Genomic DNA, 14,635 nt, shown 5'->3' on the forward strand with positions numbered 1-14,635 from the left:
GTGTGCTGTTTGCCCAGAAGCCTGTGGTCCACCTCATCACGGGGTCTGCTCCCCAGAGCCTCGGCAGCAGCGCCAGCAGCAGCAGCAGCTCTCACTGTTCACCAAGTCCTACCTCATCCCGGGGCACCCCCAGCGCAGAGCCCTCCACCAGCTGGTCCCTCTGATGGGCAGGACCCAGCTTCCCACTTGCCACTCTCCTGTCGAGAGTGAAGGAAGTTGATGCACAGAATTTACCTCATCTCACAGAGCCCACGTCGACGAGCACCATTTGGCCAGACATTGAGAGTTTGGACGTGTCCGTCTGTCCAGGCTCCATTCAGGTCCTGCTGTACTCTGGGGGCAGGGAGAGGCTAGAGGGGCAGGACAGACAGCGTTGTCCAATCAGGGATTGTCCTGGAGAACTGGGTGGGGGTCTGTGGGTGTCCAGCTTCCTCCAGGGTTCCCCAGCCACCTCCCAGCTCAGGGCACAGTGTATCGACAATCTGTCAGCCGACGCAGGGCTGGAGGCCCTCCATTTCCCTCCCCTTTTAATTTATTTCCCTGACCCTGCCTTCTGCCATGACCCCAGGGCCACTAGTCTCTTCCCCTGTTTTTAAGTCCCATGTGGGGCTGCCAGGAGCCAAGAGCATGCCTTCATGCCCTTCTCTGCAGAGCATGGGATGGGGCCCTTCCAGCCCACTTTGCCTACTGTTAGGTTCCTGGGGTACGGGTCCCTCAAACACAAGTCTTGAATCAGTCCTCAGGGCCCCAGATCCCCCTTCTAATAGTCTGAAGGAAGAGGCTGTGAGGGCAGTTCAGGGCCAGGGCCCACAGGGCATCTGCTGATGGGAAGGCAGAGCCTCGGGGCTGCCCAGCCCTGGCACCTGCTTCACACGGACCATTCTCTGACCGCCCCCGCCAAACCTCATGCTCCCCACTTGCCCTTATTGGCCTGCTTTCCCAAAAACAGCCCACTCATCCTTTCCCCAGCCCTCTTCAGCCCTCCCCAGTCCTCCCCAGCCTTCTTCAGCCTTCTTCAGCTCAGCCCTCTTCTATTTCTTATGGGGCCATCTTGGCCTCACCATCCCCACACGTGCCGATGTCAGGTTCATTGAAATACCTCAGATTTGTAATTGTTGATGTTTGAGTCTTCAGGAAGTATTTGCATCTCTGAAATCTTTTTTATATGTGTTTTGCTGACTTTTGTTTTTTTTTTATTTTAAAATTTTTATCGTAGCACCAAAGAAATGAAAACAGATCACCCCCAAAGCCAAGCAAGTGATTGGGTAACCCGGCCCCTCTGGCCCTTCCCTCAAGCCCAGTGAGGAGGTGGGTGGAGGCATGCAGGGGAGACGACTCAGGGATCGCGGGGGCGGGGAGGTGGAGTGGAGAGGCCCGCTCTCACACCGGGTCGGGCCCTGAAACTGTACCAGTTCTGAAGACCGTTTTCTGCCACACCCCCACCCCCAGCTGACCAGGGAGGCAGAGGACACCTCCCCATCACTCAGCATTCCCAGCTCAGGGCACAGGCAGGCTGGGGTCCTCGCTGGCCTTGCCAGAGGTTGAGCCGCCCCAGGGTATGAGGAGATGAATAACTCCACAGCTCCTCCTGGACCCTGCGCGGGAGCAGGCAGCTCCTGTGCTGTAAAGAAAATTGATTCGCTTGCGGCTCACCTCAGTCGAGGAAGCCCTGGAATGTTCAGCAGAACACCACCACTGTGACATGGGGCTGTGGCAGTGGGAGACACCGCGCGTGGCGTGGGTGTGTGTGGCAGCGTGGCTCGCATTCAGTCCTGTGTAGGAGAGGAAAGGGAATCAAAAGCTTGAGCACAAACAGATACCTCAGCCCGGTAAGCTGCAGCTCTGCTCAACTGCGTCTTCTCTCAGCCCTCCACACACACTCACCCCCACTCCCACACACATACACACACACACACACATACCCCATCTCCCGAGGGCTGACCTCCTCTGGCCTCAGCCTGCAGGGTGTGGGCAGAGAAGGGCATCTGGGACGTGGTGCCAGTGAGGAGCCCAGTTGGCTGGCACTGGGCCCATTTGAAGGTGTCTCAGACATTTGGCCAGTATGTCTTTCTCAGGGGTTTGGTCACAAAGGATGGACTCTTCCCACCCAGAGGATGCAGGGAAAGCACACTGTGTCTTTCCGGTCATTGGATCCTCTCCCTTTCCCCAGGCAGCTCGCCTGGCCACACCGTTGGAGTGAACCCTCACTGCCCTCAAGGACAACAGCAGGGTGTCACCCAGAGCCCGATGAGGGGTGCCAGCAGGTGCCCCCACGAGTGGGGCCTTGGCCCAAGCAGAGCTTCCCCTGAAGGTGCCATCAGCCAGGGCAGCTCTGTCCCCTCCTGCTCTCCATCTTATATGTATTCTAACCAGGAAAAATGTGATAGCACATGGGTAGCCTAGGCAGTGAGTAAATACCTCAGATGTCCTCCTGCAGCAAGTGTCTATATGTTGTGGTTATTTTCTATCTTACATGTTCTCGAATGTTTATATTTCAATAAACCTCTACCTCTTCACACAAGCAGGTCTCTCTCAGTTGCTTTGAGTGGCCTTTCCACTGGACAGTACTGGGGAGAGGTGAGCTCCTTCAGAGTGAAAGGGGACTGAGTGAACTACTCCTGACCCCTTGATTTCTCCTGAACCTTCTCCCCTTCACCCACGCCTTCTTCAAAGGGAAAGCTCACTGAGCTCACTCTCAGCTAACCTTGTGTGTTAGCAGGTTTCTCTGGCGTTACCCCAGAAGCTCCTAGAAAAGCCTGCCCGGCAGCAAGCCACAGGCCCCGCCACGCCATTGGCCAGGATTGAGTCACGTGCCCTCCCCAGAGCCAATGGGAGCGAGGGGGCAGGGTGACCGGGAATGACCTTAGACTGCCCGCCCTGCGCGGAGGGAGATCCACTACAGGCTGCGCCTCTGCCCCTGCGAGGGGCACCCCTGGGTCTCTGGGAAACGGAATGGAGGGTCTTATGGAAGAGAAGGTTTGGAACCACCGCTGGAGGGAAGGGGAGAAGAAAGCAAGCAGGAGTGGCGCGAACAGGAAGGGACTAGGGATAGAAGCCGGGCTTGGACACAGTGAGGCACGAACCCCGACAGACACAGAGACAGACAAGGGGTGCTGATCTCCTCACTGGGCGGGGTGGGCAGGAAAAGGAACAGGAGCTGGAGCTAGAGCGAGGGCTGCGAGCGGCGAGTGGATACCCGGCCTCAGGGAGGAGCTTCCAGGAGGGCAGGGGTCTCCTTTGGAGCAGCACCGGGGACGTTTGCTCGGCAAGGGCTTTTTGTGCGAAGTAACCGAAGCCAGTCAGGCTAATGGCGGCAGAGAGAAGGATTTATTCTTGCACCCAGGGTGTGCGGAGGAGCCCAAGGGCATTTGGACCTGTGTTGACGTCCGGAAGGGCCCGGAACCCAGGAAGCTCTGCCCGCAGAGGGTATTCCTCTCCCTCTGAAGACCACCTCAAAGCTCAACTTTATCACCTCCACGCATGAGACCGCCGGCGGCTGAACTAAAATCTCACCATCCCAATTCCAGTTTCTGGGAATTGTCACCTCCATTCGCTCTCATTAGAAATCCAGCTTTTTTCACGAGGTGAATAACAGGGCAGTTGACAGTTCCCAAGTTTTCTGTGTCCAATCTTCAGCCCTGGAGGGACTCTTCTGCTCCAAGTCCAGCGATCCCGGGAGGGGGCCCACTGGTCCAGTACGGCTCAGTACCCAGCCCTGGATCCACCAGCTGACGCTGGAAGGAGTGGGTCATGAAGAACTCAGCACGAACGCAGCTGGGTACGAATTCCCAGAGATGTCCTGTCCCTCCACGGTACCAAGGACCCCTCCTTTAAGAAACTGCTTCACTGAAGGCGCAGATGGAGGGAGGGATCGGCAACAGAGTTCAGAGGGGTTCCGGGGGCACATGGCTCAGCCGGAGGAAGCAGGCTGAGGAGGGGCGTTCAGAATGGCCAGATGACCTCGAGGGGAATGCCAAGCCTCAGCCCACTTTGCCTGTGGCTCCTGAGGATGTTCATGCTGTCAAGCTCAGAACAGCTGAGAAACTACCTTTCTGGGGCAGATTAGGGGACCAGGGGGCTTAGTTGCTGGTTTGCTGTGTGACCTATGACAAACTCTGGGCAGTTTGTCTGTGAAATGGGGACTCTAGTGTGATCGGAGACACAAGTGAATGAGAACTCACTTTGAAATGTCTAAAGCCCAGTGCCTAAGGCCTTCCTTGGCAAGACAGAGAGTCCCTGGTGGGCACTGTCCGATGGCATTAGGGCAGTAATTGGGCCAACCAAGCCTACAGGCCCGCAGCACCCCCTATGGTGTTGGGCAGTGCCTGCCTAGCTCTACTCTTAGCCACAGGGTCCCCTGGGAAAGTGCCAGGTGGTCTCATCCACCAAGAGCCATATTGGCAACATTGTGCCAACATGGGCATTTCAGGCCTGTGTCAGGGAGGGGACAAGGAGTGGTTTCTGCCAGGGAGGCCTCAGACTGCAGTTGCCTATGACAGGCTCCAGGCTTCAGGCCTCATAGAAACCCTGGCCTTGGGGGCTGAAGGCCAGCCAAACGGGCCTCCCCTCTTCCCAAGTCCTTGCCCAGCCGCGGTTGCCTAAGGCCTTTTTTTTTTTTTTTTTTTTTTTTTTGAGACAGAGTCTCACTCTCACCCAGGCTGAAGTGCAGTGGTGCGATCTCGACTCACTGCAACCTCCACCTCCTGGGTTCAAGCGATTCTCCTGCCTCAGCCTCCTGAGTAGTTGGGATTACAGGCATGTGCCACCACGCCCAGCTAATTTTGAATTTTTTAGTGGAAACAGAGTTTCCCCATGTTAACCAGGCTGTTCTTGAACTCCTGGCCTCAAGTGATCCACCTGCCTCAGCCTCCTAAAGTGCTGGGATTGCAGGTGTGAGCCACCATGCCCAACTCACTGAGGCCTCTCAATTCAGCTTTTCTATGCCAGGACCCTTCAGCTCACTGGGCGGGGGTGCAGGGCCTGACCTCAATCTCTTGTGCTGCAGAGTGAGGCTGTGAATCTGCCTCCTGCTGGCTCTGGGCACAGTCTCTACACTGCCTGGGCACTGCCCCTGGCTTCCAACTTTTCTCAGATGCCCTTCTTTGGGCTCCAGGGCCATGGCTGGGATCTGGGGGCAGATGAGACAGAGGCTGATACCATGGGGGTCAGAGAGGCAGGGCAGGGGGTAGCTTCCGCTCTGTCCAGGGATGGGGAGGCCAGCTCAGGAATCCATTTAGAACCAGTAAAAGCCTGAGCTGGAAGGGCCTTTCTAGCCTTCTGTTTCCCCTCTACAACCTGCAGATGGGAAGGCCACGGGACAGAAAGGAACTGGGCAGAGGTCACTCCCCACCCCATCTAGAGGGTCCACATATGCTACCTTCAGGGGCTGCAAGGTGGAGGTGGCTGGAGGCTCCTGTCCTGGTGCTGGAGCCCTTGGTGCTCAGACCTGCAGCAGCTCCCACTCCCTGAGGACACAATTCTCAGCCTGACCATCAGAACTCTTAGGGTCTCCTAGACCCCATCGGCGGCTCTGACCCTCTTTTATGAAAGCACCCAAAGAGCACCTGAGGCAAAGGACAGCATCCCCCACCCTATTGAGCTCCTCATTGCAGGAGCTCAAAGATGATGACCTCAGTCAGAATGAAATGGTATTTAAGCACAAGCCAGTAGCTGTTGCCATCCTGGGGAATGTGCTGTATTGTCTGTCACTGGCAGCATTGCATTACATCAAACTATTGCCTGAATATCACAAGAAGTGCAAACAAAGCCTTATGGATTGAACATTGCATAAAATAGGCCTTGTGTGTGGCGCAGTGGCTCACGCCTGTAATCCCAGCACTTTGGGAGGCCCAGGTGGGTGGACCACCTGAGGTCAGGAGTTCAAGACCAGCCTGGCCAACAAGGAGAAACCCCATCTCTATTAAAAATACAAAATTAGCCAGGTATGGTGGCGCATGCCTGTAATCCCAGCTACTTGGGAGGCTGAGGCAGGAGAGTCGCTTGAACCCAGGAGGCAGAGGTTGTGGTGAGCCGAGATCACGCCATTGCACTCCAGCCTGGGCAACAAGAGCAAAACTCCATCTCAAAAAAAAAAAAAAAAAAGGCTTTGGGACTAAAGCCCGTATGCAGCCGCCCCTGGGCACATATACGTGGTTTTATGACTTTGGTACTGACTCAGCCTAACTGGACCCCAGATACAGGAGAAACTGAGAAGGACGGAGAACATAAGCACTGTCCCCGGTGCACTGTGTCCCATGTCATCCTCACATCAATCCTGTGTCATAGGTACTGTCCGTGTTTCCATTTTACAGAGGATAGTGAGGCTTAGTGAAGGCAGGACTTGCTCATGCTCGCCAAGCTGGGGAGTGGTGGAGAGTGAAGTGTAAGACTTCTCGGTTCTACTGCCATTCTCCTTCCATCCATTGCTCCAGGCCCAGGGGCCCAGATGGTCTGATTCCCTGTGCCCCACAGCCCACCCTCCTGCTGCTGCTTTCCCTGGCTTCCCCTCTTCAGAGAGAAGAAGGCAGACCAGGAGATAGGTCAGGCCTCAGGCCGCTGCTCAGCCCCACCCATCCTAACCCCTGAGGGGATGAGAGGGCAGCCTCCACAACGTGTCCCTAAATGCCCCTGCCCCCCTGCCCCCTGCCCCAGGTTCTCAGAGAAGAGGAAGAGCTGTGGGGGCTGAGGAGCATCTCTGGGAGGGAGGGTGGGGTTTCTCCCCAAAGAGCCCCTCAGATGCAGGCACCCCTCACCCCGCAGTCACTGCTTCTCTACCAGCTCCTTTTCAGCTGCTGCTGCAGCCTCAGTTTCTCAGGGAGGCTCTCCACCAGCTTAGAGGTGGGCGGGGGGAAGCAGTGAACACGTTCCAGGCTGAGCCCTCCCAGTGGGCAGCAAGGGCTTGGGAGGAACTTGAGTGACGGAGTGTGGGGAAGGAAAGGTCAAGGCCTGCATGGGCACCATGCGGCAGGCAGCAGGGATCGGGCATGGGGGAGCCTGTGGGAGCCATGCAGGCCAGTCGGAAGCACAGTGCAGGGGGGCAGCTGCTGAGCACCTGGTCCTGGGCAGCCTCCAGGGCCCACTGCTCAGCTCTCAGCTCTGAGTCTCAAGCTTCCAGCACATTGCAGACCTTCTCGAGCTCAGTCTGCATCTCAGCCAGCTCTGAACCCACCTCCTGCAAAGAAGTCTGTGATGGAGGAGGGTGGGGCTGGCGCGTATCTTGATCTGCAGGCTCCCCAAGAACTTCGCTCCCCCTTGGATTCAGAGCTCCAGCCTCACAGGGGCCTTCCTAGGGACTGTTCTTCGCCCCAAAGAGGCCACCATGGCGGCATCAGGTGCAGTGCTGACGGAACAGCACCAGGGGAGGGGGCAAGAGGGCTCACCTTCCCCTCCAAGCTGTGCAGGTGACTGAAGTCCAGAACACTTGCCCTGAACCCCTGATCCTTCACTCCCTCTTTTACCCTGAGTCCCGCAGCGCTCCCCATACGGGTAGTACTGCCTAGCCCAGGAGCCCCTGAGGGCAGGCCTCACATCGCCCTCCATCTCCACATCCTTTCCAGGGTCCCTGCACAGTTTGCCTGCACAGGGCTGGGCCCGCAAAGCCTCGCTCCCCAACGCACTTGTTTCATCACTTCAATTGGTGAGTCCACCCTGCCAAGGAGTGAGGCCTAGTCCCCTCTCAGGGCCACGCTGAGGTTGTACGAGGACAGGGCAGCCGGGGTTACGGGCCTGGGATGAGTCTAGGCTGAGTCCTTGGTGCTCAATGGAGAACCCCCATCCCAATTCATTGGTTCCAACAAGCCAGGCTTCCTACTCCAACCCCTGCCCCCCGGCCCAGGCCCTGCCTTCACTTCACATGGTCCCTGTCTCAGCTCCTCCAGCTCCTGGAAACAAGGGCCCAGTGTGGTCCCAGAGGGCCCAGTCCACATGGCAATGGGAGACCAGAGCCAAGTTCTCTGCCTGGGAGGTCCCACCTCCATCCAGCCTGATCTCAGGGAGGGCAACCAGGGCTGCCCCACACCAGCTCTCACCCCTGGATGGGGCTGTCCCAGCTCCACCCCAGTCTGCCCTTGAGCTCACCCATTGGCCTCTGGTGGAGTCCACACTGCAGACTCCAGCTCCTTGGCAGACCTGGGCTCCCACAGCTCCTGGGGGATGGGAGGCAGAAACGCTGCTGGGGTGTGGCAGGGACAGCAGGACCCTGTCCCCTTGCCCCCACCCCGTTCTGTGTTCTGTGCATCATTAGCTCCACCAAGGCCACTGGGTAACTCAAATGTGGCACAGGCCCAGTTCTATACAGCTGGGGAGACCGACGCAGGGACAGTGACCCAGTGAGTAAACTGAACAGGGTCATAGGATCACTGAGTGTCAGAGCTCCCCAGAGTCCCCCCAGCACCACACCCAATGTACAGATGGAACCTGAGCCCCAGAGTAGTGAGGGGCTTGGCCAAGGCCACTGGCCAGTTTGTGGCAGAGCTGGGACTGCCACAGTCCCATCAGTGTTTGTGGAACCCGTCGCTTTACTGGCCAGTGAGGATTCCCAGCGGCCCCACCCACAGGCTGTGGGGCTGGAGGTGTGTGGGTGGGTCTTGGCTGGTGCCCACTCAGGTAAATGCCTGTGTAGTACCCAGGAGAAGCCACAGTGGGCTGGGTGGGGCAGGGGTGAGGTGGGACCCACCTTTCATTTGCAGACTCCGGGGGCTGGCCTGGGGTCTCTGCTGCGGTCTGCCCTGTGGGCAGAGGGGAGGTGGCAAGGACTCAGGAGCACTTGGGCTGCTCCAGGGTGGCTGCCCTCCCTTCAGGCTGGCAGGATTGTCCAGATTCTTATGTCCCTGTCCTTGGGTGGGCAGGCTCAGGCCACCTTGACCTGGGGGCACCCGACCCTCACCCCTAGCAGCTGGTGCTGAGGGTTCTGGTGCCAGTGGTGGCCAAAGTCCTGCTTCTGTCCACAGGCACCCAGCTCAAGCTGGAGGGCAAGGCCCTTTCTGTTCACGGACAGATGGGCCATAGTAGCCCTGGAGGCCCCACACCCCTGGGCCTGAGCTCCCCGGTACTCAGGGCCAGGGTGGGGAGCTTGGGACCCATTAAACAATCAGGAAGCTGAGGCCCCATGAGAAGAGCTGTGGCTGTGGCACAGCCCGGGCCTCCACTTTATTGCACAAGGCCCCTGACTTCAGGCTTGGGGAGGGCTCTAGGGTACTTAGGAGGGGTTCTTTGGGGGCCCTGACTGTAGGTGGGGCCACCTCACACCACCCCAGGCAGCCCAGCTCCTGCCCACCTTTTGCCTCTGGATCCCAGCAGCCATCTGGTCATTCTCCCTCTCCAGAGCCTGCATCCTGCTCCTGTGGCTGACTGGGGAGGGGCCAGCTGCATCCCCATCTAGGGGCCCTGCTCCCCCATCCTCTCATGCCTGCAGAAACCTTCACCCTGGCTCTTGGGTTTGGGCAGGTCCAGCCTGCAGAGGGGAGCGGATCTCCTCCTGGGCCCTGGCCTGCCCTCCCTGGCTGGCATGTGGACTAGGGGCCTGGGGGCTCACTGGATGGTGCCCGCCCAGACTCACGGCAGCTCCTCCTGCGTGCACTCTGGCCTGTGCAGCTGTGTAAGGGTCCTGCGGTTACATGATGGGAAAAGCAAGAGGGAGCATCTGGGGCCCTGAAGTCCCAAGTCACACCCAAACCAAACCACCCAGCCAGGAAGATAGCAGGAAGCAAATTGGAGGCGTTCTGGGTTGAACTGTATCCCCAGCAACAACAACAAAAAGATATATTGACATCCCCAGTACCTCCTAATGAGACAGAATCATTACAGAGGTAATCAGACTAAAATGAAGTCAATAGGCTGGGCTTTCATCCAAGGTGACTATACAAAGGGGAAATGTGGACACGGGCACACACAGAGGGAGACACCACGCGGACATCCTGGAGGAATGTCAAAGCCTGCTGGCAAAGCACCAGAAGCTGGGGACAAGGCCTAGAACAGACCCTCCCTCACAGGCCTCAGGAGGAACCAACCCTGCCGACACCCTGACCTGAACTTCAGCCTTCAGAACCAAGAGACAATGAATGCCTGCCATTGAAGCTACCGTCTTCAGCACTTTGTTATCACAGCCCTAGCAAACTCACAGAGGGTAAGTGGGATCCAGCCCCATGTGGCAGCTCTCTGGCCCCAAAAGGACCCTGACTTCGAGGAGAACTTTCTCCTCAAAGTGACCACACCTGCAGCAGCAGGAACTGTGCAATCATAGTGGCTAATGCTTCATGACTGAATGCCATGTGTTTTCACGTGCTTGTCAAATGTCATCCTCTTAGGCACTCATTCAGGGAGGATAACTGTTATTTTCACTTTTACAGATAAGGCCCAGAGAGGCAGAGGAACTGCCCAAGGTCACACAGCTAGTATATTGTGGAGCCAAGATTTAAACCCACAATCTTAGCCACTAATCTGGGGACAGTGCAGACTACTGAATCCTTGGATGGAAGACAGACTGAGGTAGACACCCAGAGAGGGTTGGGTGGAGGAGCTTGAGGCTGGGGATGGGACTGGAGGTGGAGCATGCCAGAGGCCCTGGGAGCGCTGGGTGCTGAGCCCGTGAACCCCCTGGCCAGCCGGACGTTGATGCAATATGGCTTTGTCCAGACCCTATCCAGCTGCTGCCCCATCTCCAAGAGCCTCGCCCTGCTGGAAGTGCACTGCTAGTCTGGTTCATCAGCCACTCTGCACAGGACCCCTGCCCAGGACCCAGGGTCTGCATTTTAGGCCATCCTTGCTGGATAGGCCCAGAGCCCAGGGTCCCCACCTGCCTGTAGAAGGTGAGTCCTGGGTTGGCCTTCTAGGGGTCCAGGGAGGGAGTAAAAATGGCCTGGACAGTCTCTGAGGGGCTGGAAGGCCCTGCATGTGGGGCCCAAAGTGGCACTGGCTTATGCATCACGTGCAGGTTAAGTGCATCCGGCTCACCTAGCACCTCTTCCTGCTAGGAGACAAATCTGCCGAGGGCCCAGCCCTCTGTCACTCCACTACCTTCTCACTGACATTGCCCACTGCAAGTCCTCAGACTTGACCAAAGAATATAGCCCATCCAGGCGCTGAGGATATATCTTCTGACCCTCAAGGGTCTGGTTTGAGAAATAGACAAAAACAAACAAACAAAAAAAAAAAACAACAAAACAAAAAACTGAGATTTTCCTCTGTACAAATATATAGTGGCAGACTACACTGCAGACTTAAGGAACAGCCCCCTATGAGCACAGTTGTGTACCCATTTGAGATACACTGATTTAGACCAACTCAACCTTTATGAGGCCCAAAGCCAGCTAAGCTTTCTCTCCTTTTCCTTCCATCGAGATCAGCAGATCAGCTTCAGTCAGGTGCCTTGTGGCAGAGCGTGGATCCCACATGGGGTCCTTAGAATACTACTTCCCTATGGCTCCCAGGCACCTCGTTGGTGTCTGTATCTCTCTCTGTGTCTGTGTGTGTGCATATCTGGGGGTGTCTGCAGATGTCTGATGTGTATCCTGGGGGTGTGTGTGTGCATGCATGTCTGTGTGTCTGTCTGTCCATGCACACATACACTTGCCCAGGAGACTAAGGGATGCTGACCAGGAGAAGGCAGCCACCAAGCTGGAGGTGAAGTCAGGTGGACAGGAGCTGGGACATCTAAACCCTAGATCTGGCCCCTGTCCCATGTCCATAGTAACCCCCTCACCCACTCTCCTTCTCAAGTGGATCAGGGGCTATTTACAACACTCCTCCCCTGTCTCTCTGGGTATATGTATGTGCAGTTTCCTCTTGCTGAAATGCCCTTCATTTCCTCTCTCCTCCTGGAAAATGCCTGTCTATCCTTGTGTGAGGGTTCAGAGGCTCAGAAACCCCTTCTCTGGGAGGGACTCTCCTATCTGCCACCCCTTAACCAGCTCCCACTGTGCCTCTTCCCTCATCTGGCACATTAAATTATTACTTGCAAAATAGGCACAGTGGTTCATGCCTGTAGTCTCAGAACTTTGGGAGGCCAAGGTGGGAGAACTGCTTGAGGGTCAGAAGTTCAAGACCACCCTGGGCAATGTAGTGAGACCCCCATCTCTACAAAAAAAAAAAAAAAAAAAAAAACTTAGCCAGGCATGGTGATGCGTGCCTGCAGTCCCAGCTACCTGAGGCAGGAGGATCGCTTGAGTCCAGGAGTTTGAAGCTGCAGTGAGTTATGATTGCACCACTGCACCTCAGTCTGGGTGACAGAGACCCTGATGCAATCAATCAATCGATTATAAATCAATCAATAATAAATAAATAATTGCTTACTCAATTACCGGGTGCCCCCAAACCATAAGCTGTTGAGGACAAGGAGTGATCTGATTTGACATTGCTTCTGCACACAGAAGAGGGCCAGGCATGTAGCAGATGCTCAATAAATGCATGCTGAAAACATGGATGGAGAATGATGGGGCATGATGAGGAAGAGGCAGAAAATGGGAAGGAAGTATAGGATCAAGATGGGGGCATCCTAAGGAGGGGTAAGAGACTAATTGGTTTGTATGGGAAAGACTGGGCAGTGGGGAAGACAATGGGGAGAACGGGGTTGAGGGGGTGGAGAAGAAGGTGGGAGACAGTGCCCACCTGGGGAGGCCAGGTCCCACTCTGCCTCTGGAGTCTCTGCAGTTCCTCCTCTTTAAATTTCAGGGCAACTGCCAGCCGGTGCCAGCGTGCCTTCCAATATTCAGCCATCTCCTCATGAAGCCTGGGATGTGATTCTTGTGCCTCTAGCTCTTTCCTGAGGGGCACTGGTACCTCCAGGACCTGGAGTGTACTGGAAGAAATGGTGCAGTCCAGGTACAGCATGGACCCCAGATCACCCCCACCCCACTCCCTTTCAGTGATTATTGTCTTATGAACTAGGAGGGGGAGTGGGGCAGAGATGCCTCTTTCATGGCTCCCTGCACACACAGAACCCCTTTGTACTGGGCACTTCTACTCCCAAGGACCCTGACTTGCACCCAGCAGCTAAGGTCATCTCACCCCCACCTCCCACCTGCCCCTGGGCCAGCAGGAGGGGCTTGGCCATATGTAGGCGAGACAGGACTTCTTGAAGCTGAAAGATTTCCCACCCCATAAAAGAGCCAGAATGTGACAACCAGGAGCGCTGATACCTGGGGAAGGGAGACTGGCTCTGGTCGTGTGATTCCGGGTTTAGGGCTCTGGGCCATTCCCCCTCAGCCAGCTGGTGACAGAGACTGGCCCACCGCCTGCTGAGAGGGCCATCTCACCTACAGTGAGAACAGAGCCCCCACCCCAGCCTGGCTTGGACACTCTGAGGATGGGCCCAAGCAGCCACCTACCAGGACTCTTGGCCCGGGGCCACACCCAGTGCTGCTAGCAGCCCCACCTTCTCCTGAAGTAGCCAGGTGTGCTCTGCCTCCAGGGCCTGCAATGGCCCCCCAACACCATCTGCTCTCCCTGCAGATGCTGCAGCTGCTCCAAGCAGGCCCCTAGTTGCTGGTGGCTCTGGCCCAGCTCTTCTGAGTCTCTTGTTCACCTGGGGAGATCCCCACCCCACCGAGTTGTGGCTCAGCCTCCACCAGGGTTGTGGAGCTCCAGCCTTTACCCATGCAGCCCCTCCTCAGAGGCCCCGAACTCCACTTCCTCTGGGTCTCAGCCCTTCCAGGAGGCCTCTCTGACCACCCCAGCCCGCAGAGGCTTCTCTACACTCCAGGCTACGACTCTGGACCAGTGCCTGGCTGCACACTAGCAGGGGGGCCAGTTATGTGAAGATGAGGATGGTGCTCTCTGGAGTGTCACTGTGTGGACGCCCTGCTAGAATCTCTCTCTCCTGGTCATTCTCCTTTCCTCTGTGCCCCTAGAGCCCCTTGCCCTACATTGGAATCCCCCAGGAATGGGGCCCAGGCTCCCTTGCCTCTGCCCCCTGGTACAGATGGGCATGGCCTGGATCAGCTAATGCCCAGATTCCCTTTCCTGTGGGGCTGCCCCTGCCAGCTGTCTTGACCAACCTCAGTGAGTATCAGCAACTGCTCCTGCAGACGGACTGTGTCCTGAGCCTGGGCAGGGGTCTCAGCTGCTGGCATGGAGACTCTGGGTCCCGAAGCTCCTGGGCCCTGCCTCCATCCCAGCTCTGCTCTTGGATCTGCAGGCCTGGCACCAGCATCTCCTGTAGATACACTTGGTCCAGAATCCTGGGGTCTCCTTCCAGCTTCCAGACCACACTGGGGTGGTCTTGGCAGACCGTTGATGCCTCAGGGCATGTTGTGGCAGGGTCCTGGCCCCAACTCAAGTTATGACTCTGAACAAGCTCTCCTCTGCTCTCTGGTCTCAGTTTTCCCATCTGAACCAGGAGGGAAGTCACTGAATGATCCCAGGGTATTCCCAAATGTTGGAAGAGGATCCCTCTCTTGGCTGGACTAAGCCCCTGCGCTGCCTTCCTTCTCTAGATAATGCTTCAATAATGAGGACCAGAGAATAAAGTGTGGGGCAGAGTCAAAGGTACAGCAGGGCCAGTGCGCAGGGCCTGCCATGCACCCACTTGGGGGATCCCCAGGCTGGGCTCTGGGCCAACAGGCTGTTGGGTCATTTGGTCCAAATGCCGCTAGGCCTTTTCCACTTCTGTCTGCAGCAGCAGGATCCTGTGGGTAGAAGG

At 56.8% G+C, this 14,635-nt stretch overlaps 3 protein-coding genes across 18 annotated transcripts in view, besides 3 other annotated features; 2 read left to right on the plus strand and 1 right to left on the minus strand.

Annotated features, from left to right (window-relative positions):
- ARID3B (AT-rich interaction domain 3B) overlaps window positions 1-2,521 on the plus strand; it is a 56,912-nt gene extending 54,391 nt beyond the window's left edge. For 2 of the 4 annotated variants that reach the window (XR_007064418.1, XR_007064419.1), the window contains exons 8-9: window positions 1-1,308; window positions 2,171-2,521. Coding sequence is in view for 2 of the 4 variants with exons in the window: in NM_001307939.2 (NP_001294868.1) it covers window positions 1-164 (164 nt within the window). In the remaining 2 variants the exon portion in view is untranslated. The other 2 variants (NM_001307939.2, NM_006465.4) reach the window with 1 other exon arrangement.
- Window positions 1,399-1,899: an enhancer, noted in NCBI's record as "H3K4me1 hESC enhancer chr15:74889350-74889850 (GRCh37/hg19 assembly coordinates)". NCBI's record gives its function as "activates a minimal SCP1, AML or CMV promoter by ChIP-STARR-seq in naive and primed H9 embryonic stem cells {active_cell/tissue: H9 hESC(naive and primed)}" and the evidence as "EXISTENCE:reporter gene assay evidence [ECO:0000049][PMID:30033119]".
- Window positions 2,515-3,403: an enhancer, noted in NCBI's record as "H3K4me1 hESC enhancer chr15:74890466-74891354 (GRCh37/hg19 assembly coordinates)". NCBI's record gives its function as "activates a minimal SCP1, AML or CMV promoter by ChIP-STARR-seq in primed H9 embryonic stem cells {active_cell/tissue: H9 hESC(primed)}" and the evidence as "EXISTENCE:reporter gene assay evidence [ECO:0000049][PMID:30033119]".
- Window positions 2,678-2,972: an enhancer, noted in NCBI's record as "tiled region #315; HepG2 Activating DNase unmatched - State 1:Tss, and K562 Activating DNase unmatched - State 1:Tss". NCBI's record gives its function as "activates a minimal TATA promoter and a strong SV40 promoter by Sharpr-MPRA in HepG2 and K562 cells {active_cell/tissue: HepG2 | K562}" and the evidence as "EXISTENCE:reporter gene assay evidence [ECO:0000049][PMID:27701403]".
- Window positions 3,309-14,635, minus strand: part of CLK3-AS1 (CLK3 antisense RNA 1) — a 16,874-nt gene continuing 5,547 nt past the window's right edge. For 2 of the 13 annotated variants that reach the window (XR_007064714.1, XR_007064715.1), the window contains 7 exons: window positions 13,992-14,621; window positions 12,604-13,519; window positions 12,289-12,405; window positions 8,675-9,604; window positions 8,077-8,144; window positions 6,753-7,171; window positions 3,309-6,358 (listed from right to left, as the gene is read on the minus strand). Coding sequence is in view for 7 of the 13 variants with exons in the window: in XM_017022791.3 (XP_016878280.1) it covers window positions 7,849-8,144; window positions 8,675-8,726; window positions 9,557-9,604; window positions 12,604-12,793; window positions 13,323-13,519; window positions 13,992-14,066 (858 nt within the window). In the remaining 6 variants the exon portion in view is untranslated. Of the gene's footprint in view, window positions 6,359-6,752; window positions 8,145-8,674; window positions 9,605-12,288; window positions 12,406-12,603; window positions 13,520-13,991; window positions 14,622-14,635 lie in introns of all 13 variants that reach the window. The other 11 variants (XR_007064716.1, XR_001751613.3, XR_007064717.1 and 8 more) reach the window with 11 other exon arrangements.
- CLK3 (CDC like kinase 3) overlaps window positions 12,762-14,635 on the plus strand; it is a 21,830-nt gene continuing 19,956 nt past the window's right edge. Inside the window, exon 1 of the mRNA NM_003992.5 lies at window positions 12,762-12,816. The gene's annotated coding sequence lies outside the window, so the exon portion shown is untranslated. The remainder of the gene's footprint in view (window positions 12,817-14,635) is intronic.

Source organism: Homo sapiens, chromosome 15 (genome assembly GCF_000001405.40).
Source record: "Homo sapiens chromosome 15, GRCh38.p14 Primary Assembly".
Classification (NCBI taxonomy): Eukaryota; Metazoa; Chordata; class Mammalia; order Primates; family Hominidae; genus Homo; species Homo sapiens.